Source organism: Homo sapiens, chromosome X (assembly GCF_000001405.40).
Source record: "Homo sapiens chromosome X, GRCh38.p14 Primary Assembly".
NCBI classification, from domain to species: domain Eukaryota; kingdom Metazoa; phylum Chordata; class Mammalia; order Primates; family Hominidae; genus Homo; species Homo sapiens.
This window is the reverse complement of record NC_000023.11, coordinates 148967489-148990066: the sequence shown is the minus strand read 5'-3', so window position 1 is coordinate 148990066 and position 22578 is coordinate 148967489. Positions and strand designations below refer to the sequence as shown.

Below are 22578 nucleotides of genomic sequence, written 5' to 3'. Positions count from 1 at the left end.
AAATATTTTCCTATGTAATACAGTATTAAGGAAAACATTTAAGGACCTAGTCATTGTTGAATGAATGTGAGCCTCATATGAGCCAGGATGTTCCCTGGGTATTCTGTACAAAGCTCTCTGTGGCATTCTTAATTAGACACCATTTTAATAACTGCTCCAAATGAGCAGTATAAGCAGCTGGGCAGGTAAGCTTCTAGACCAAAGGCCAGAGGGCAGCATAAGTGCCATTGGCTCATTTCAGCACCAGAACCTTCTACAATAAGCCATCTGCAGCTGCATTGTGGGCAGTATGAGGCAGGAGTGGAGACCTTTCACTGGGAGAACCAACTTCACCCATCTCCACTGGGTAAAAAACGTGCAAATACGTGGTTGTCTCCAGTGAGATGCAGAGCTGCAACCAAAAGGGAAGCTCTTCAGTTCTCTCTTTTCTATGTAGACAAGGTAGATGTGAATAGAATCCCCAAAGCTAAGTAGATCAGAAATGACAAAGTATGAAACTCCAGGCTTTGAGCAGAAGATTTCACACTAGTCTTCTCCCCAGTCCGCTGAAAACCCCAATGACAGCATTAACAGGACACATTTTCTCTCTGCTGGTAGAGTGACGGAGTTGTTTTCATTCAAGATGACACAGGGAATTTAGCAACTCTTTGACACACTGTGCTAATGACAAGATTAACACCATTTCACCCTAACATCAGCACAGCCATCACATTGCTCCTGGAAAGTTCTGAAGTTAGTTAATTTAGAAGGAAATACTTTTAACAGATTTTGAAAATGGATGCAATGATAAAGGAAATCCATAAATATTGAACTGCCCTCCAGTTACTAATACAAAATAAGAGAGAAATAGCAGAGGCAGACATGCTAGGCAAATCTTAAGATGTGTCTATCTTCACTTGCAATTCTAGAACCCCTGGATGAGTCTGGTTGTATAGGCCAGTTGTCTCTGAGTTTCCAGAGGTGTAGAAAAGTAGACAATTTAATAATTATCCATTGCTCAGATAACTGGTTTGGGATCTCACCAAAGGTCTCTGAGGACCTGTCATTAATCTTGCTCTCTAGATGGGCAGTGTAGCCTATTGATTAAGAAATGAGACTCTGGAATCAGACACTTCTAGATTTCTGCTTCTAACAAGCAAGAGCTGTGATAACATGGGTGAGTTTCTTAATCTCATAGAGCCTCAGTTTCCTCATGTATGAAATAAGGGCAAATGAGACAACAAATGATAAAGCAATAGTGCAGTTCCTGGCACATAGAAATTGCTGCACAAACCTGTGGAACCAATACATGCAGATATTCCCAGGAGTCAGTGTAAATTTATAGCTGCGTTGAGGGGTGAGGTCTCAAATTATGGAATGTGCTTTGTGAGCCACAAAATCTTTGAGTTATATAGATACATAATATTATGGAGTAAGGAAAGATAATAAATCTTTGTAGAATTTCTACCTTGAACTCAGAATTTTATACTAGGTGCTTTACACCCATTATTTAATTCAACCCATCTCTATCATCCATCTGGGACGTTTCACCATCATCATCACCATTACGTCCATTATAGAGACAGAAGCTAGGAAGCAGCTCACAGATTTAATTAACTTGCCTAGGTTGCCTAGGTAATGCATGACCCAGGTAGGATTCAAACTTAAATGATTGGGTTGCAAAATCTGCATCCTTCCTATTCCAATGAGATGGTTTCCCCACATGCTCAGCGATACAGTAGTAATGGGTAGCCCACATTTGTCCCCACCTTGACTGGTGTGGAGCAGTCTGTGACTGCTGGGCCAGAATCAGCCAAGTCAAATGAATGGCTGAGACAAATGTGCAGTTTAATTTTACTTCCCACCTTCATTAGGGTAGTGAGGCTTTGTTGTGATCCTCAATGACAGCTAAGGTCACAGATGTCTGCATGAGTCACCAAAGACCACGGATTCACTCTGGTAAAGCAGGGTCCTCTTTGCATTTGTTTTGTAGCAAAGTTCAAGTGTCATCATGAACAGCACCCTGATTCTTCATCCCAGCCATCGGTGTGTGAAAAGTACTAGCTGAACTTTGGCCCTTGCTTCCAAATGCAAGCTGCGTTATCGTGTACTCAACTGGAGCTAATAATTATATTGAAGGTTGAAGGCCTTAGTTCAACCTCACCTCTCAAAAAAATAATAATAACAATAATAACAGGAGCCAACAGGGTCATAATTAATTGTAAACCATTATTTTTGTCTTTGCCTCTGTTTCTCTGTGTTGATCTTTGTCAGTGAGTGAAATTCAAAACACATCACAGTTCAAATGAGTTTAAGCTTTAAAGGAGGACAAAATTCCGGGGCTTTTTTATGCTCTCAGGAATAATAGGTCACTGTGTCAGCCCTGAGCGAACTCTGTCTTCCCTTATCTAAGTTCTGGAAATCAGAGAGACAGAAAGATATAAGGCCACCAAGTACAACTCAAGTCCTTCAAAGTGAAGTTAACTCCATCATGGTCTGTGAGCTATATGGGTAGAACAGATGAGCATACCTTTGTTTTCTCTTGTCAGTTTGTCGGCCATATCCCAGTGTTCATAGCCCCGTAACACATTGCTAGTGATGTTGACGTGGCTGGCAGCCATGTGGTGAATGCGCTGGGGAATGGTGACTGGGCCATTGTTACAGTTCCCCATTGCGTTGATGGGGGAGACGTTGTTGAGAGACACTGGGGATGGAGTGTTCCTGGGAAATGGAAAGAGACAAGCCTTGTTAGGCTGGTAGGAAAGAGTGACAGTGGGGTTCTAGGCCTTCCCCATCACGCTGGGATCTCATCAGAATGCCATTTGCTGGAGTGAAGTTTAGCATAGCGTACACATGTGAAGCCCCATCAGAGTGGAGCTTGTTCTGACATCCCACTGACTCTTCTCACAGTACAGCTACAGCTTTTGTCAATGCAATAGCTTTTGTCAACACAATAGCTTTTTCCAGGGGCTCTAGTGGATACAGAGATTATTACCACCCCATACCTGCCTCATCTGACCAAGCCACCCAGAGCTACAGTGCCACACTATAGAATGAGGCCCACTCTTCTTCTTTTCTAACATTAAACACCAAAGTCTCCACTGCCTTTGACCACCACCGAGGGCTCCATGCACACCACTGCTTTTGTCTTCAAATACCAGAGAGGGCTGGGTGGATATTTCTCTGGCATTAATTCTACCCACAAATATAGCTCTTCCTTTGAATACATATAACAAGTGTTGTGATGTTTCAGAGAAAGAAACAGCTCAGAGCTATGATGATTTCTCTACCTGCTGCTGGAACGGCTATCAGCAGTTAGAAAACACTTGATGTCCAATATTGGTCTATCATCAAAGTGTTTTGTGGAAACCACAATGTCAGTTTGCTCCAAATACTGTTACCACAATAAGCAAAGTGCAATTCTTACAGCCCCCCAAGGAGCAGTATTTGGGAAGCTGGGAAAAGTAGTATTCTCTCTCTTTAGGATTCTTTAAGACATGCTACAGAGATGGGCTGTTAATTGCTGACTATTTACCTGCATGCTGATTTATAAAAAGAAGTCTTCAGGGTTTCCACTTCAGAGAGTACCAGTGTTTAGACACACATTTTCATTATATTCTTTAATATTCGCAACAAGGAGTCACCTGCTGGCTGTATACAGCATGGGGGTCGTTTTTCTTCCAGGGCCCAGGGTTAGATCTGGCTACCTAAGGAACCTGAAGGCTTGCCCAGGAACAGTCACTAAAGCAAGGTCTGTGTGCCCCTCTGGTTCTCTCTCCTCCTCCAGTCACACTATGAACATCTGCCCAGGCAAACGCATCAATTTTTCAGGACAGAACATAATGAGTGAGTAAATGAAATGGAGGGAAGATGTCTTTAGGACTCCATGAGTCTGCATGTTTGAAAGAATCTCTTCATTATTCCTCTGAACACACCTTATCACACAATCAAGGAACTCTGTCTTCTGCCCCACCCCCCACCCCCTTACCAGTTGCTATTGTTGGCAACTCTAGTTTTCCAGTGTGGCTCCCAGAACAGATGTGCACCCTGACGGGCAGCACATACAGATGATTTGGGGAAACAGCAATTGTAGCATACCAAAATGCTGAAATGCTGCTGACTAGATCTGGGAACAATTACAACTGCAATGCTCTTGAGACTCACACAGGCTGTGCCTACAGCTATAGGACAGAGTTGGACCATTTCTGCAAACCATCTATTTTCTGGTATGTTCTGGTCTGGTCTGAGGGAGCAAGTTCATCCTCACACTTGCTCTGTGCTTGTCTGGTGTGAATGGGTTCGAGAGTGTTTCTGCTATGTTTATAATTTCTGAGCTACTTCGTCACTTCTTGATAGAAAGATTTATTCTTAAGGTAGGAGTGGGATGAGGAGATGTCCAAGCTAAGGGGTCTAGGCACAGAAGACAGTGAAATGACAAAAAGGCAGTGAAAGCTGGGTTTCTTTGTTGTGGTAGGTTGCAAAAGCTATTTCCTAGTCTTTTTCCCCAGTGTTAGTCATTAACTCTTAAATGTCAATTTATGGCAAGAAAGAAAGACTTTCTCGTCTGTAATTCTTAGAGAAAATGACAAAGTTGTCATGTGCCACAAATGTCGAAAGAAGTTAGAAAGGCATGTGACGTGTGCCTGTAGTTGCAGCTACTCGGGAGGCTGAAGCGAGAGGATTGCTTGAGCCCAGGAGACTGAGGCTGCAGTGAGCCATGATCGCACAACTGTGCTCCAGCCTGGGAGTCAGAGCAAGGCTGTATCATAAAAAAAAAAAAAAAAAAAAAAAAAAAAAAAAAAGGCCAGGCACAGGGGCTCATGCCTGTAATCCCAGTACTTTGGGAGGCCAAGGGGGTCGGATCACCTGAGGTCAGGAGTTCGAAAACCAGCCTGGCCAACATGGTGAAACCCCGTCTCTACTAAAAATACGAAAATTAGCTGGGCATGGTGGCACACGCCTGTAGTCCCAGCTACTTGGGAGGCTGAAGCAGGAGAATCACTTGATCTGAGAAGGCAGAGGTTGCAGTGAGCCAAGACACTGCACTCCAGCCTGGGTGACAGAGTGAGACTCCATCTCCCAAAAAAAAGACAGAAAAAAAGAAAACAAAAGGGAAAGAGAGACCACATGGTGCAGGGAAAGAGGTGCTGGAATCCCAGGAGATGTGGACTCTAGCCCTGGCCCTGCCATAAAATTGCTGTGTGCCCCTGAGCATATCCCTTCTCCTTGCTTGGCCTTACTTTTCTTGACTGCAAGAAAAGGTTGGATTCAATGATTTCCAATCATGTCCAGGAGTCACAGGAGAAACCAAATCATCTCTCTTTACCACATACATCTTGAAAAGCCCTTTTTACTTTATTACACTGAAGTGTTATTGGGGACTTTTCTCCCTACTATTCTCTAATTTATTTATTTTAAATACTCAGTGGTGGAGGCAAGAACAGCTAGGATAAGTGTCTGTTTTCAATTGTTACTGTTCTCACACCAGGCTCTAAGGTCTGACATATTCTGATGCACATGTCTGCACACTACCTTGTGCTCATTAAATGAAAACCTGCCTAAGAAGTTGTGACTGTGGCTAAGAGAGGGCTGATGCAGGGCCCACTCACTTCAGTGTGCTCTCCAACTCTGACTTAGCTCTCATCACTGCGTGGGGTTTCCCTTCCTGTTCTTTGTGTGTATCTGCTTGCAGATCTCACCCTTTTTTCCACATTTCCATGGCACATGCAAATGAGCATGCACACAGAAGCACATGCTTCCCACCACTTCCGCCACTACCACCCTGGTCCAACCCACCATCCTCTCACCTCTAAGCCACACTCTGCCATGCTGTTCCTTGAACTTGTCAGGCATGCTCCCTCCTGCTTCAGAGGCAGCTGCCATCCCTATGCTTGGAAGAAACTCCTCCAGCATTGCCATGGCTTTCTCTACCATCATCCTTCTCTAAAATCCCTACTCAAGATTCAGCATGGTACCACTGCTCCCTCCCCTATCCTCAGCAGCCCTTTCTGCCTGCCTTCCTTGTTTCAGTTTTCTCCATGACACTTCCCACAACCTAGTATGCCACATGTTTGTTGTTATCTTTCTCCTTCAACAGAATGTGACCTTGATGAGGGCAGTTTTTTTTTTTTTTTGTCTATTTCACTCTGTGCCATACTTCAGTATCTAGAACAGTGTCTGGCGTATATGTTCTCAATGAACACCAGCTGAATAAATGAATGACTTGCTTCTATTCTTTGTTTAGTATCTACTACATATAAAGCGCTCTGGAAGGTAGAAGGAGAAGAGCATATATAGCATGAGGATAGGGGATATGTCTACAAAAGGCCTGGCAGAGTGTCTCACACAAGGTAGGCACTCAATAAATATTTGGGGAATGATAGGATGGATGGCTACTTATTGCAAAAGAGCAAAGAGTATACTAGAGGAGCAAATTACATTCTTTTCTGGCAATCTGGAGTAAGTGCCAAAACTGTGGTGCTAACCAAGTGCTGTGGGAATTCTAGAGGTAGGATCATTATCTTTTCTAACTTAAATAGGTAACAATTACAACAGTAATCATGGCAACAGTAGCTGCAGCAGCCATCATTTGTTGCACAGTCTCTATGTGCCAAGCATAGTTCAGGGCTTCACCAATATTCTGTCCAAGCCTCACCATAACTCTGCAGGGAAAGTTCTGCTGCCACTGTTTCTGGCCTCAGAGAAGTTCAGCTCCGTCCTGAGGGCCACAGAGCCCAGAGAGCCAAAAAGCCAGGATCTAATAGCAGGTCCATTTTCCTCCAAAGCCCATTCTCTTCATTCTCTTTCCATTCCACCATGTCACCTCAAAGTCCTGCCATCCATGTTTGCCCAGCTTCTTTCTTTTTATTATCTCTCTGTGACATTCGAAATTGTTGCTCAGCCTTTTTAAACTCTCCACAATGTGGATTCCAGAACCCTGTGTCAAGAGTCAGCAAATCTGGCCCATCTTGTGTTTCTGTATGGGCTGTAAGCTCTGAATAGTTTGCGAAAGATGAACATTTGCAATCGATTTGTTGAGAGGGAACACTAACTTTGAACCCCAATTAAGCAAAATGTTATGAAAAAGATTTACATTCTTCTCACCAATAGACTTGTATTTCAAAAATTATATGTAATTGTTATTATATTTTGAATCTTATCAGTAAAAATTTTGTGAAAATTTGTTTTCTCTCATATTTTTCTACATAGTAGCCTTGGTTTCACCTCTTAGCACAAAGCCCAAAATATATAGTGTCTGGTGCTTTAAATAAAAAGTTTCCTGGCCCCTGCTGTAAACTCAGCAGATTTTTCTGCTTCTCCTTCCAATTGCTTCTTTGCACTTTCTTTCTCCAGCTTCCATGGAAGCAGTTCCTGAATGTCTGTTCTTAACCCTCTGCTCATCTCTCCATATAATTTCCTGCAGAGCCCTTAACCACCTCTGGGCAGCTGACTTCCCCAATTGCTAGCCAGCCTAGGAGGGTTTGAAGTCAGAGGGTGCTGCTCCTGGAAGGTGCTGTGAGAGCCCTCCTTGGGGGACACCACCCTCATTCACAGAGAAACAAGGCCATAATCTTGCTTGCAGACAAGAAGCCCTTCCTGGTCACGCAGGGAGGCCCAAGCTCCTTCTCCTAGGCTTCCACAGCACCTTGTTCATACCTGTCACCTCCTTCCACTGGACTGTGTGCTTCTGGAGTGCAGGGACCATATCAAATTCAGCTTTCTGTCCCCAGCCCATCGTGCTGCAGATGCACGCAAAGCATTTGCTGAATGAACGAGACATAACCCCTGAGTGACTGTTTTGAGTTGCCTCAGTCAAAAGCTCTGTGGCCTACCAAAGGGAATGTGCTTTCTTCATGCAAAATCTGCTTAAGAATCATTTCAGGAGGCTTTTCATGCAACTTCCCAAGCTTAGGTTGTGTTTGAGTTCTTGCGTTTCAGAATTTTTTTTAAAAAAACGCTTTTTTCCCCAGTGATTCTTTAATAGCTGCTTACCTGCCCTTGCCCTTACTTTACTCTGTGCTCAGGGAAAACAGAGCTGGGCCTTTCTCCGGTTATTTTTATTTTCTGAACTTATTTTTTCTCTTAAGAGAGAAGCACTCTTTCTCTTTTGTTCGTCAATATAAGAGTAAGACCTAATTCAACATTTTAAACAGTGCTTCCTTTCAGTGAAGTAATTGAGTTAATGTGTAGTTTTCAATGGATCTGTTCCCTCGCACTGAATGTTTTTATGATTTCAAAGTAGAGTTCATTGTCCCGTTGCTTTTGGAGTACGTTTTCTAGATATTTATAAAGTGGCAGTAGAGACTGTTTTATTCTTGAAGAAATTATTTTGATCAGAGATGCAGGAATTTTGAAATGATGAAAAACTGAAAAAGCAGCTTGGAGTTATAAAGCGGTCTATGTCCACAGTCATCTAGTTTCCCTTCCCATCACTGAGGGGTGTGGGCTTGGGCTGGTAAGGGGTATTTGGAAATCAGAGGAGAAACTGATGCTCAGGCAAGTTAGCTAACTTCACAGCTGACACAGAACTGGGATTCGAACTCACTCTCTATAAGAGACATCTCTTCAGTGGGACTTCGAGGGCATTGGGTCCAACCCCTTCATTTTAGCGATAAAGAACAAGCCCAGATAGAGGAAGGGGCCCTCTTAGCTTACCCTGTAAGCCAAGGGCAGCTTCAGCACCAGGTCAACGGTTTTTGGGCCCCTACTCCACTGCTATTAAGACTGAGCTGTCCCAAGCAGATAGAACTCTAAATAAGGCCTCAGGCGCAGGTGAGTTCCCTGAGCCTCCAATCAGCATTATAGTGGATGCTTTTCTATCTTAGGCTAGGGCATTTTAGTATTAATATAAAAATTATCATGAAGGCTTGGATAATTGGCTGAGCAAGTGCCTTCACATTTTCAGCACTATTATGCCTTTGGTTTTATTAAACAGCACTTACCATATATCAATGAATATTTCATTGGTCTTTCATTATTGAGTGAATCATTGAAAAATCACTGCAGTGGAGTTAACTTTGTCCTGCCTCCCTAAAATGGCATGGTGCTTGCCATCTTATTAGCAGATATTTTTATGGCTATAATTTGGCTTAAAGATCAAATAGTTAAATAACTCTGAAGCACATCTTTTTAAACTTTTCTGTCTTGCCATTAGCCGAAGCCTGGCTGGAATTTTGTATGCACAAAAATGACTGTAGTTCTAGAATTGACCTTCACTCCTGACTTGTCAATGCAAAATATCTGGGGTCTATTGAATCACTCATCTTCACGAAAAAGCAATTTTCAGAAAATACTTACTTTCCATTGCTTACCCATGGAGAGGGTATCTGTGCGACTTTTGAAGCATTTTGCTAAAAGAGAGAGAGAAGAGAAAGGGAAATAAGGACATCTATTTTGTGTTTTATTAATTCAGAAACAGATGGAAGTGTGATTTAGAGTACATTAATATTGATTGCAGCATTTCGGGATGCAGAGCTGGGATGTATGTGCACGTCAGCACACCACGACGCACACTCGATGAAAATAGCTGGTTAGGATAATTAGTGGGCTCCAATCAGGACCATGAAAGTCACTTGATGAAAGATCTTATATACTAAAAGGCCCAGTGAAATCAGACTCGGTTCTCCAAGAAGTGGTTTAATTATCCTCATCTGAAATTTATTCTGCCAAACAAGCTCTTCAGAGTGCAAGTAAGCTTTTCACCTTTAGCTCCAGTTGCAAACTTTTTCCCTGGGATGCAGAGTGAGCTGTCATTTCTAATAATCCAAGAATGTGTCAGAGCCAAGCAGTATTTTCGTTTGTTTGTTTGTTTTCAGGAATCACCTTGATTTGCTCTATTTACATGCAAACCCTCATGGCTAAAGAGCTTCCCTATTTAACAAAGTGACTGGTCCAGGGCTGCATTGCAATCAAATACTAAATATGCCTTTGTTCCTCTGATGGAAGTGGGCTGGTTTAAAGGATGGGCTTCCTTGTATTTTCAAGACCACACACTTGTGGATCAGAGGGAAAACTGACATTCAGCATTACCACTACAGGACAGGGATCAGGCTCATTGTAATGGCCTAGCCAGGTGGAAGGTCAAGCAGCACAGATGGCCACAACTCACACTCATGGCACTGTGCCTGACTCAGACCTGCTCTCGGAAGTTACATCCCCAGTGATGCTCATCTTCTGCCTCTTTGCTGCTAGCCCAGCCCCCTTTGCGAAAGGAGGGTCAGGGAAAGAGTCAGCATTTTCGGGAGTCCAGTGAGAACGGAATACTTCTCTGGAGCTTTGTAGACCCACACCTAAGGTGCATTCTGCAGACTCCAGTTTTTAATCTCAAGAAGGCTCAACATACTCCTGGATGAATGAATTATTTAGTATTTGTTTGGAATTTTACAATACCCTGTAAACTATAGAGGGTAGGCCAAAGAGGGCAAATATTACATCAGTGGGTCTCAAAGTGTGATCACAAGAACAGCAGCAGAAGCATCACCAGGGAACTTATTAGCAATACAAATTCTTGGGCCATACCTCAGACCTACAGAATCAGGTATCTGGGAGCTGGGGCAAGGCATTCTTGTTTCACAAGCCCTCTGGGGGATTCTGATGCCCACTGAAGTTCAATAAAGAACTTTCTAAAGCAGAAGTTAAGAGTGTAGGCATATGAAGAGAAGAGGGCCTGTTGTATATGACTCCCTTTTACCCACATCAATACTAGCCTTATGGCATTATGGCCACACCACATAATAGCTGGGAAACATGCTCTTTTTCCCAACTGTGCCACAGTGTCGTCATAAAGCTGTGCACTTCCACTCACTGCATGTTTCACATAAGGCCATAATTTCGCTCATTTCAAACAACTACTTTGGTATGATTTAGCCAAGAGGTCTCACGCACTTGGCAAGAAAGAAAAAAAATCATGTCCTTTTCTTTTTAGACCTGCCCAACAGAAGGAGCTTGAGTCTCCCCAACTCTAAATCATGACTGTTGTTGGAGAGTACAGTGATCAGGCCTAGTATGAAGTTGCTGTTTGCAATTTTTACCTGGGCTCATTCTCAAATTTTGGCGTTGCATTTTGAGATTGCCTATATTTTTTGTGCTTATAAGTTAAAAGCCCCAGCTCCCTACGATATGGCTTTGTTTGTTTGTTTTGGTAACCAAAGCAATCAGTTGTTTTTAATTACAACTACTGCACTCCAAGACTCCCCATGGACAAAGGCCTTCCAGGGTTGTGGACGTGCACATAGAGCCAGGGTGGCCACAGTGACTTCTCTCACTTCTGAGAGATTCCTGGGCTGACCTATCATTTAACAAAAGACTGGCCAAACCTATAGCCACAAGCTGTGCCCACCTCACAGAGCAGCAAAAAGGTGACATACTCCTCACTGCAACCAGGAGACTGCCAAGGGTCATTTGGTGAGTCTGGAAAAAAGTCAGCAGATTGCACCATCGTGCCTTCTCTCCCTGGAACCAAATCAGCCATAAACTCCTTGCTGAGCCCTTAAGGAAGGGTAGGACGGCCATGGCCAGCAGGGAGGAGAGAGGTTAAGCCTTTGGCAGCATTTGACATTCGATAACCTGCATGTCGTGTCTTATTAGTGATTTTATCATCCTGTACCTATAAATTATACAAAATAAGCATTACCTTAAAATATTCCATCAGTGATCTGGAGTACTTCATAGCATGGTCCTTCTTCAGCTTAAACATTCTCAAATAGAGGAGTGATAAACATCGGTAGCTGTGGTGATGAGGAAAGGCTTCTGTTAATGCCAGTGCTTAGTGAAACTTTATAAACTGTTAAGAAGACTGCTGATTCACAATTTGCAGTTACTTTCCTATGGTTAGATTGAGAAACATAAGTAAATAAAGAAATTCTAAAGAGGGAAGGGGCAAGCATTAAAATCCCATTTTGATAAGGGTATAAGTTAGGAGAGTAAATGTTTAGTCAGTGACTGAAGAAATCCATTAGTTATCCTTTAATAGTTTAATGGAAAACAAGAGTAATGATCTGGGGTAAGCAGCTTAAGTTGATCTAGAGTTTTCAAATCCTTCCATGACATTTCAGCAATTTCCTTGTGGCCTCCATGGGACTCACCATAGTACTGCTAGCTTTTTGTCCCCATCCGAAGCCAAGGGACTTGCAAAGTTCTTCAGCCTCATTGCATACCTTTGAAGAGAAAAGAAAAGCTAAAGTGGAATCTGTATTACCCTTCAGAAATGCCTAAAGTCACTGGTATTCTGATTGCCTGAATGAGTTATTCCCACATTTGTTCTGGGCAAGAGGACTGACTGGTACATGTGGGCAAAAGCATGCTTCCCCGAAAACATACACAAAATGAGGATAAAAATGTCATAAGAGGACTCATGTGAAATACAGAGTTGAACTCTGGAGAAAGCAGTGAAATCATGAGCCTTAGGACAATGCTGTGGAATTACCGTGAGTGTGTGTGTGTGTGTGTGTGTGTGTGTGTGTGTGTGTGTGTGTCTAAATGCTGGTAAAATACTGTTTCTAGGAACACTGTAGCTAAATACTATGACTGGTTTTCAATGAGAGGTGGACAAGAATGTCAGTTTCAGTTCAGTTTATGACAGATTAGGTAAATAATATATAACTATGTCTGACATGAGCATAGGGAGACCTCAATCACACAGCTAAAAGGTCTTTTCTAATGGCTCAGGTTTTGAATATATTCCTATTGAAAGTGGTTTGGTTTTTTTTTTTAAAGGAAGGTCGATTTCACAGCATTTTAAGGTCTAAGCACCCTTAATTTATGATGCTTGTATATTTTGTCTTTCTATTCTCCTTAATTGTTACTGTTCTGCACTGGGGTGATAAAAGGTTGAGTAGTTCCCATTTTTTTTTCTTCTAGCCAAGTACATTCCATTCAGAGCATTTAGACTCTTGAAAATCAATTCATTGCATAAAATCATTGTCTGAGCTTTAATGCAATTTCACAGGTACTTGTAGTAGAATAAGTAATGGAGTTCAGTGTGGCAGAAGGAAGTTGAAAGTTCTCATTTATAAGAAGGCGACAGAAAGCCTGCAGGGCCACTGAGCTGGCATGCCTGACTCCTCGCTTTCAGCAACCTTCCCCCGCAGAACACTGGGGAGCCCAGGCTCACCCCCTGAGACTCGGCCTCCTCAGCATTCTAGCCGCCTTGCTCTCCTGGTTATTGCTCTAGTTCTGTTGAGTGAACATTTTCCAGGAAAGGCACTTGTACATTTAACGTGGGTCCCTTCCTTTGTTGCAATATTAAGCAAAGGAATTTTTATTATGTAATAAATCTAGCTTTCTTTGACAGTTGGATCACTGAAATGTCAAGTCATTGTGATGCCCCACTTGTTTTCACAAATACATTTCTATTGCAGATTCCCAGAGCTCAGAGCAACTATAATTACTTGAATGAAGAAAATGGGGCTCTCTCTCTGTAGCCAGCATACTGTCGGGGAGAGAGTAATAAAAATTTCTTCAACATGATATTGCACTACTAAAAACTATGTTCACATTACACTCACCCTCTAATTGCAACCACATTTGAAGTGACTTGATAGTGGAGTTTCAATTGCTTAAGTGGACCAGAAGACCTAGTTGCTTTAACTCATTTTATTCCCAACTGAAATTCCTCTCATTAAAAAAATATTATACACACATGTAATTTACAGAAAGTATAAAAAAAGTAAAACATAGAGAAGACATAAATGGGTACATGCAAAAATGGTGAAGTTGGAAACAAAACAAAACTGGTGAAATCTGAATGAAGTCTTCGGAGTGTTTCAATGTCAATGTTCAGGCTGTGATACTGTAATATAGTTAAGCAAGATGTTCCCATTGGGGGAGACTGGGTGAAGAATACACAGGAACTCTCTGTATTAGTTCTTACAACTGCATGTGCAACTACAATTACCTCAAAATAAAGTTTAAAAACACTGACTTTAAAGTGAATGCTCGTAAATTCTCCATTGACTTTCAGATTTCATTGAAATAAACTTCTATGGGAAGTAAAATAGCATATAATAAAACATAAATCATGTTTTTTTCCCTAAATAACTTTTTCGTGAATAATTAAAAGAAAATTACTTAATGATTCACGTTGCACTTTTACCATAAAATGAAATTTGTATTTTACTTTCATATTTTTTTTTTTTTTTTTTTTTGAGACGGAGTCTCGCTCTGTCGCCCAGGCTGGAGTGCAGTGGCGGGATCTCGGCTCACTGCAAGCTCCGCCTCCCGGGTTCACGCCATTCTCCTGCCTCAGCCTCCCAAGTAGCTGGGACTACAGGCGCCCGCCACTACGCCCGGCTAATTTTTTGTATTTTTAGTAGAGACGGGGTTTCACCGTTTTAGCTGGGATGGTCTCGATCTCCTGACCTCGTGATCCGCCCGCCTCGGCCTCCCAAAGTGCTGGGATTACAGGCGTGAGCCACCGCGCCCGGCCTTACTTTCATATTTTTAAGACAGCATGTGTCTTCTTAAAAGAAAATAAGAAAGAAGAATATGCAGAGAGGGAAATCACCCATAATCTCACTGACTTATTACAGCTATGATTTCATTTCCCTTCCAGTTTGGTTCAGATGCATATACAAACTTTTCATGATCATAATTGTAGTGTGCATGTTATTCTGCAGCTCGATTTTATTTTAACATCATATAATAAATATATTTTGTGCGGCTGCATAGTCTCTGTCATTGTTGTATTTCAATCGCTGCAAAGTATTCTGTTGAGTGTCCTACTATGTAATTACTGTTCTATTATTATTTGGTGTGCTTCCAATTGTGTGCTATTACATATAATGTCAAATTGAACATCATACCGATTACTTGTTCTAGTCTTTACAATTGTTTTCTTCAGGAGAGAAAACTCAGATTTCCACAGTTAAAGTACTGGATCAAAAGATATGAATACTCATTTGTATGGCTTTCCCTACACAATGCCAAATTGCCCTCAATTTACAATAATCAATTTCCATTCCCATCAGCTGCATAGGAGAGGTCTGGTTCACTGCTAGGCCTTTTTTTGCTGTAGTTTTTAGTGCTAGATATTATCATTGTTACGTTTTCTTGTTAATTTAAAAAGTGCCTTGTTTTAATTTGCATTTTTGAATGAATAGAGAGCATGAATTGTCCCTGTGTTTGTTCACTAATGTTTCCCTTCAGTTTTGAATCCTTATGATTTTTGCCAGTATGTTCATCTTGTGTATCTTTGAAAATCACAGGTAGTTTGACTAGACACTGGGCAATCAATTTCTCCTTGAAAGCTACAGAATGGTGGTGGTGCTTTTCACAGTATATAAAATAAGTCAAGGAGAAATACTTGACACTTTTCTCAGTGCCTACATTTCAGAGCAGTGCAAAGAGAAAGATGGCTGATTGGCTCAGCAGGCAAGGCTAGAGCTGCCCTTATAATCACCCTACTTTTGTGGCTCTAACTAAACTTCTGATTCTATGTGAGCAGAGTTGCTTTAAAAAAATAGTTCTTTTTATCTTTTGGAATGTGTCACTGGGAAAATATGCACACTAAATCTGTCCAGTGTTTGTCTGAAGATTTAGGTACAAATATCCTCAGATTTGTAACAGTTAATGCAGGTACAAGCAAGATAGATAGTATAAACCAGTCCTGGCATTATTGATTAATCAAGCCAGATGGGACTGGACATAAGGACTTTTCAGGTAAAAAACTGCTTACTCAATCAATCAAAAGTGATTATTTAGTCCATCTAGTGAACGATGGTGCTTATCCACTATTCAGGGGTGGATTAAATTATTGTACAAATATCTGCAAATCACTGGATAACACCAGAATGGATTATTTCTTCTTCTACCTCTTCTTCCTCTTCTTCTATGAATTTTTTGATAACACAGAATTTCTACACCACCAAGACCAACAGCCAGAAAATTTCATTTAAAATGTAAATGAAACCAATAATGTGTGCAGTTAATATCCCCTCTCTTATTCTCATCCTCTCATCTGTACCGCCAGCCCCTACTACCACCTCATCTATTTCCCTAATTCCAGATGCATGGAAAGTCTACTCCACACCTGCAGCCTTAAACACCAACTCTGAGTTGGAACAGTGCCCCTCCCTTTTTAATAACCAAGATAAAAATTCTTAGAAAACATGGTTTGTAATAGAAATCCTGAGAGCACCATTTTTTTGAATTATAAAACTGCACCTTTGAAAAGACAAGTCAATGCTAAACGGTAAAATGATTATACTTATTTCTACCCACTACATTTCCATTTTAATGTTACGAATATTGAAAATTATAACACTCACATTATAACTTCTGGAGGGGATAATTTATAAAGTCAGCATCCATCAATTATAAATTTTCCATGATATTAATAAAATGGCAAGAACTAATTATGATGACTTCTAAGAGGATGGCTTGGACAAATTATTAATAAGTGGAAATGATACATTTTTTAAAACATAGCTTCTAATTCTAGCTGAAATGAGTGTAGGAAGATGATTGCAGAAAGGCTATTCACCTGAGGAGCTCCACAGTCTCAGAGTACATGGTGTATGGGGACTTTGCTTCCAGAGGGTCGCGTTCCATGGCATTGCCACATTCAGTGAAGGAGAGGGCGGCATCAGCATAATTCACAGCTTTGCCAAATTTCTCGAACTGAAACAGGAAGATGACTCGTCAAGATAATACTCTCTGTTTTCTCCTTCATATAAAAGAGTGGTTTGAAACTGGGGGGTAGTTTTGCCCCCTTCCCACAGGGAACATTTGGCAATGTCTGGAGACACTTTCAGTTGTCACCCCTGGGGAGAGGGGGCATCTGGTGAACAGAGGCCAGAAATGCTTATAAACTTCTGCAGTGCCCAAAATAGCTCCCACAATAGAGAATGAGCTGGCCCAAAATGTCAGCAGTGCCCAGGCTAAGAAACCCTGATACAGAAGACAATGTATGAATTGGTCTTAACAAACAGCATGGTACTGGTACCAAAACAGAGATATAGATCAATGGAACAGAACAGAGCCCTCAGAAATAATGCCGCATATCTACAACTATCTGATCTTTGACAAACCTGACAAAAACAAGCAATGGGGAAAGGATTCCCTATTTAACAAATGGTGCTGGGAAAACTGGCTAGCCATATGTAGAAAGCTGAAACTGGATCCCTTCCTTACACCTTATACAAAAATCAATTCAAGATGGATTAAAGATTTAAACGTTAGACCTAAAACCATAAAAACCCTAGAAGAAAACCTAGGCATTACCATTCAGGACATAGGCGTGGGCAAGGACTTCATGTCCAAAACACCAAAAGCAATGGCAACAAAAGACAAAATTGACAAATGGGATCTAATTAAACTAAAGAGCTTCTGCACAGCAAAAGAAACTACCATCAGAGTGAACAGGCAACCTACAACATGGGAGAAAATTTTCGCAACCTACTCATCTGACAAAGGGCTAATATCCAGAATCTACAATGAACTCAAACAAATTTACAAGAAAAAAACAAACAACCCCATCAAAAAGTGGGCGAAGGACATGAACAGACACTTCTCAAAAGAAGACATTTATGCAGCCAAAAAACACATGAAGAAATGCTCATCATCACTGGCCATCAGAGAAATGCAAATCAAAACCACTATGAGATATCATCTCACACCAGTTAGAATGGCAATCATTAAAAAGTCAGGAAACAACAGGTGCTGGAGAGGATGTGGAGAAATAGGAACACTTTTACACTGTTGGTGGGACTGTAAACTAGTTCAACCATTGTGGAAGTCAGTGTGGCGATTCCTCAGGGATCTAGAACTAGAAATACCATTTGACCCAGCCATCCCATTACTGGGTATATACCCAAAGGACTATAAATCATGCTGCTATAAAGACACATGCACACGTATGTTTATTGCGGCACTATTCACAATAGCAAAGACTTGGAACCAACCCAAATGTCCAACAATGATAGACTGGATTAAGAAAATGTGGCACATATACACCATGGAATACTATGCAGCCATAAAAAATGATGAGTTCATGTCCTTTGTAGGGACATGGATGAAATTGGAAACCATCATTCTCAGTAAACTATCGCAAGAACAAAAAACCAAACACCGCATATTCTCACTCATAGGTGGGAATTGAACAATGAGATCACATGGACACAGGAAGGGGAATATCACACTCTGGGGACTGTGGTGGGGTCGGGGGAGGGGGGAGGGATAGCATTGGGAGATATACCTAATGCTAGATGACACGTTAGTGGGTGCAGCGCACCAGCATGGCACATGTATACATATGTAACTAACCTGCACAATGTGCACATGTACCCTAAAACTTAGAGTATAATAAAAAAAAAAAACATTAAAAAAAAAAAAAAAAAAAAAAGAAATAGAAAAAAAAATATTTTCTAGGATTGAAAAAGCCTGTCTAATTAAAATAACACAACAACATTACTTAATCTGCAATTCTTCTTGACATGCCTTGGGACCCTGCCTTCAATTTTCTTTCATTAATATAGGCAGGGAGAAATGAGAGGCGGGAAGGTGATGGAGGCACTTTACAGTTCCTTTCTACCTAAGGGTCTGTCCCCTCCAGAGGCAAGAAACAACAAAGCATGTCTCAGTTTCCACCAAATTAATAAGCAAGATAGGGGAGAAATTGTCTGATAAATCTGGATGACATAGAGGACCAGTCAATTTCTCAAATCCCAGAGAAGACCATTGACCTGAAAGATATTGATTGGCCTTTCTGATACCTAGTCTCATGAAAAAAAAGTTTAATTTCCTATTTTCCTTTGGGCATAAAGCCCGTATCGCCTCACTTAGACAAAAGGACAGTGACATGTCTGCAACTGTTTTTTCAAACTTATTAGCAACACTTAGCCAACTATATGCCACCTATCTGCCTATGTATACTTTTCAATGCCCAACTATTCTTAATATATATTCCAGTTAACCACCTATAAATAAACTTGATTGGCTATTTTCAAAAAAAAAAAAAAAAAAACAATGAAGTTACCGGCTTAAGGTTCTATCATCATGACACCAAGGCTAGTTGAGAAGAGAAAAATGCAGGCAGGGTATCATATGTGGTTTGTGGCATTGTTGTTGCTGTTATTGCTATCTTTTTGGTGGACCTGAATCCAAATCATTGCCTCAACTAGTTTCTATTCATGAAATTTACTAAACTATCTGCTCATTGTAGTGTCCTATAGACAGTACTTGCAACTAAGGGCTGCTTTTTAGAAGTCTCATGGACAATGAACACATACATTTTTGCTTTAGAACTCTTTGTGAGGACATCAATTTCACTCTCAGGAGAAGATTAACAAATTGATGCTATTGTCATGAAAGATGAGAAGCTGTAGTATGACTGTTGACAATAATCCCATCACTTTCATTATAAATGATAGTTTGAAATAGTGTGTCAAAAAGCCAAAAAATATAGTACTACTAAATATTTTAGTTTGGTAAAATTTTATTGCAAAGGTTTTAGCCCTGATAATGGTCATGATTAAACTGACTTAGACATACTGATTTCTTTTTTATGTGTAATGAATATTATACATGACACTTTTATAGTGAGTATTTTATAACAGGATTTAACATTTTCAATTTTTGATAGCAGGATGTAAGAATTCCACTAATATGGTATTTTATGTAAAAGAAGGAATATAATGCAGATTTAGCTGTTTTAATTTTCTTGTATACCTTTTATCAAAATATTTTCTATGCAACTGTGAAAGTTTCAATTCTCAAAATGGCAGAGTAGCTGTCTCTAGCAAAGGATTAAGTACAACTATAAAATGATTAGCTAGAGGTCCTGCAGAATCTTTTATTGTAAATGACTTTTTACAATAAATGTTCTCCAGCTTTTATGAGCTGCAGGAATTCTGTGGTTTTCTTTCTGTAAGCTACTGTGGAGAAATATCGGTTTCAATCAAATTCAAGCGGATTTTGTGAAAACCTGTGTACATATATGCAAACTAGGTACTTTCTCTTTTGCCTTACAGGACAATTTCCTTAGGTCATCTGGCTCCACTGGCTCTCCCATTTGGAAATTGTTCTTAGATCCTGATTTCTGAAAGTGACTTTTCATTCACAACCCAATAGCTGGAGAGATCTGTAGAGATCACCTAGCCTAAACCCCTTCGTCCCTAGGAGTAGCTGATGTCCAGACAGAAAATTACATGACTATAGTGCCAATTAATAGCCAAGTTATGCCCCCCACCCCTGGGACTGTTTCCCCATCCATAAAATGAGTGGCTTAAACTATAAGGGTGCTTCCCAGGCTAATATATGCATAAGCCTAGCAAAAATATCATTCCTCTAAGTGTTCCTCAACCTTGTTTTTCCATATCACCCCCCCACCACCACCAAGGAATTTTTAAGATACAGTCAGCCCTCTGTATCCGTGGGTTCTGCATCCATGGATTTAACCAATCTTAAATCAAAAATATTCAGAAAAAAATGAATGGTTCCATTCGCACTGAACATATACAGACTTTTTCTTGTCATCATTCCCTAAACAATTCAGTATAACAACTCTTAACATACCATTGCATTGTATTAGATATTATAAGTGATCTAGAGATGATTTAATGTATATTAGAGGATGTGAACAGGTTATATGCAAATGGCCATTTTATATCAGAGACTTGAGCATCTGAGGATTTTGGTGTCCGAGGGGGTCCTGGAACCAATCTTCTATGGATACGGAGGGATCACTGTATTTTTTCACGTACCCCCAATGAAATTTTAATACAAGAAATATACTTATTCTCTCTTTATGCCCTGTGGCCCTTTGGAGGGTCACACCCCATTGCAATAACTAAGATCTTTTCACCCCATCTCCAAAACCAATTTTTACCCCCATAGGGGCAGCATCTCCCCAATTGGGAATGCATATTCTAAATGGATTAGGCCAAATGTGATCCCTTGAAAGACATACATATAAACACAACCTTGGAATGTAGAGTGATGTTAGTTCATAATCATATGTATATATGTCTGTGGTACCGATTTTTCTCAGTTCTTCAAACATTTCATTTACATGGTCTCCTATGTATATCCCAGTCTTCATCAGCTCATGTAACAGCTTGTCAATGGAACATGTGTATGCTCCCTAACCCCTGCTTTGACAGATGGCAAACCCTAGGAGCACTTGAGTGCTCTGTAGTGTCACAGAATTGAGGACATTTAGAGAAAACCTTTGGTCTTTGAGGGAGCAGCATTACCATCCAGTGCCTTTCAAATCTCTCATCACCTATACAATGGTCACAGGCACTGTTGTCCTGGCATCTCCAATGGAGCTAGCACCCAGCCTGCCTTGTCATTTTTGTCTGCAGGAGCAGGGGAAAATTGCTTCTAAGGAACAATTTACACCACAGAAAGGTCACCTGCAGACACGAAGCAATTTGTACCACAGTGGGGAAATGACAGAAAGTAGGGAAAAGGCAGATGTAAGGACCATGGACAGTTGATGTTGGCTACACACTAGTCATGGTATTTCATCACAGCATTCCCAGTATCAAACACCACTGGGACAACTAAGTCCTAGCAGGACACAATGCAATGTTTGAGGATGCTATTTTTTAACCCAATGGGGTTTAGTCAAAGTGAGAAGCCTGAATTTAGGGCCTTCCCTAGGACAGTCGTTCTCAAATATCTGCAATTGGGAATCTCCTGGGGAGCTTTAATACTCATTCCTGGGTCCCAGTCCCAGAAATTCTTATTTCATTGGTCTGGGATATGGGCTAGGCATCAGAGTTATTCTAAAGCTTTCAATGTGATGTGTGGTTGAGACCCACTGTTAGGAGCCTCAGCCAAATCAAACAACTCAAAATGTTGAGCTTATGACTGATCTAGGTGGCTAAAACCCTTGGAGGCAGCTGGGCAAAGTATCTTGAGAAATCCAGATGACAGCATTTCTCTTCTCTGCTTGGGGCCCCAGCCTAACTGTGGGGCTCACTCTGAAAACATGTCATCAAATGCAGCAAGGAGCTGAGTTTTTCCTCAGGCCTAGTTTTCCCAAAGCCAATTTTTGAGGCCATTTAGACAGCTCTAAACAACTCTCACATTCCCACACGAGTTCTGGCTTACTGGACCAAAAAAGCACATCATTTCCAGGGAAGTTTCATAAGTCATTCCAAAATCACTTGAAAGGTAATGACAGTGGTATATGCCATTGAGCTTCTGAAGTTGGGGTAAGGGGAAGAACAGTGGGAAAACAAATGACATGATAACCAAGCCCTGAGAACTTTGGGAATTACAGAACTAAGTAATTCACTAGTTCAAATCTCCCTATGTCAGGGCAGCAATGTGTTGACAGGCAGGTGTGGGCTGTGATACTGAAAATTTGTTTGGAAAAGTGCTTTCTTTGTTTTCCTTTGAAACATAAATCCTTAATAGGAACAAAGCAATGAGAAAAAGGAAACTTACCAGTGCATCAGCTTTGTGCTTCAGCTTCTTAGCTTCTTGCATGTAATAATCAGCATTGTGAACCCTAAATAAACAAAACAAGCTCTTTCAGAAACCAATGCTTCATCTTTTCAGTAAAAGACTGAATCATCAAACCTTTTCTGCTATAAATTTATTCCCATATAATGCCTTGAAAAAGGCAGACTAATGCTGTCATTCATATCA

General features: G+C 40.8%; 1 protein-coding gene across 6 annotated transcripts in view; it reads right to left on the bottom strand.

Moving 5' to 3' along the window:
- The window catches only part of AFF2 (ALF transcription elongation factor 2), a 500047-nt gene that overhangs the window by 10597 nt on the left and 466872 nt on the right, over positions 1 to 22578 (bottom strand). For all 6 annotated transcript variants that reach the window (NM_002025.4, NM_001169124.2, NM_001169123.2 and 3 more), the window contains 6 exons: positions 22375 to 22438; positions 16460 to 16596; positions 12063 to 12134; positions 11612 to 11705; positions 9277 to 9329; positions 2510 to 2700 (listed from right to left, as the gene is read on the bottom strand). In NM_002025.4, the coding sequence (NP_002016.2) occupies positions 2510 to 2700; positions 9277 to 9329; positions 11612 to 11705; positions 12063 to 12134; positions 16460 to 16596; positions 22375 to 22438 (611 nt within the window). The remainder of the gene's footprint in view (positions 1 to 2509; positions 2701 to 9276; positions 9330 to 11611; positions 11706 to 12062; positions 12135 to 16459; positions 16597 to 22374; positions 22439 to 22578) is intronic.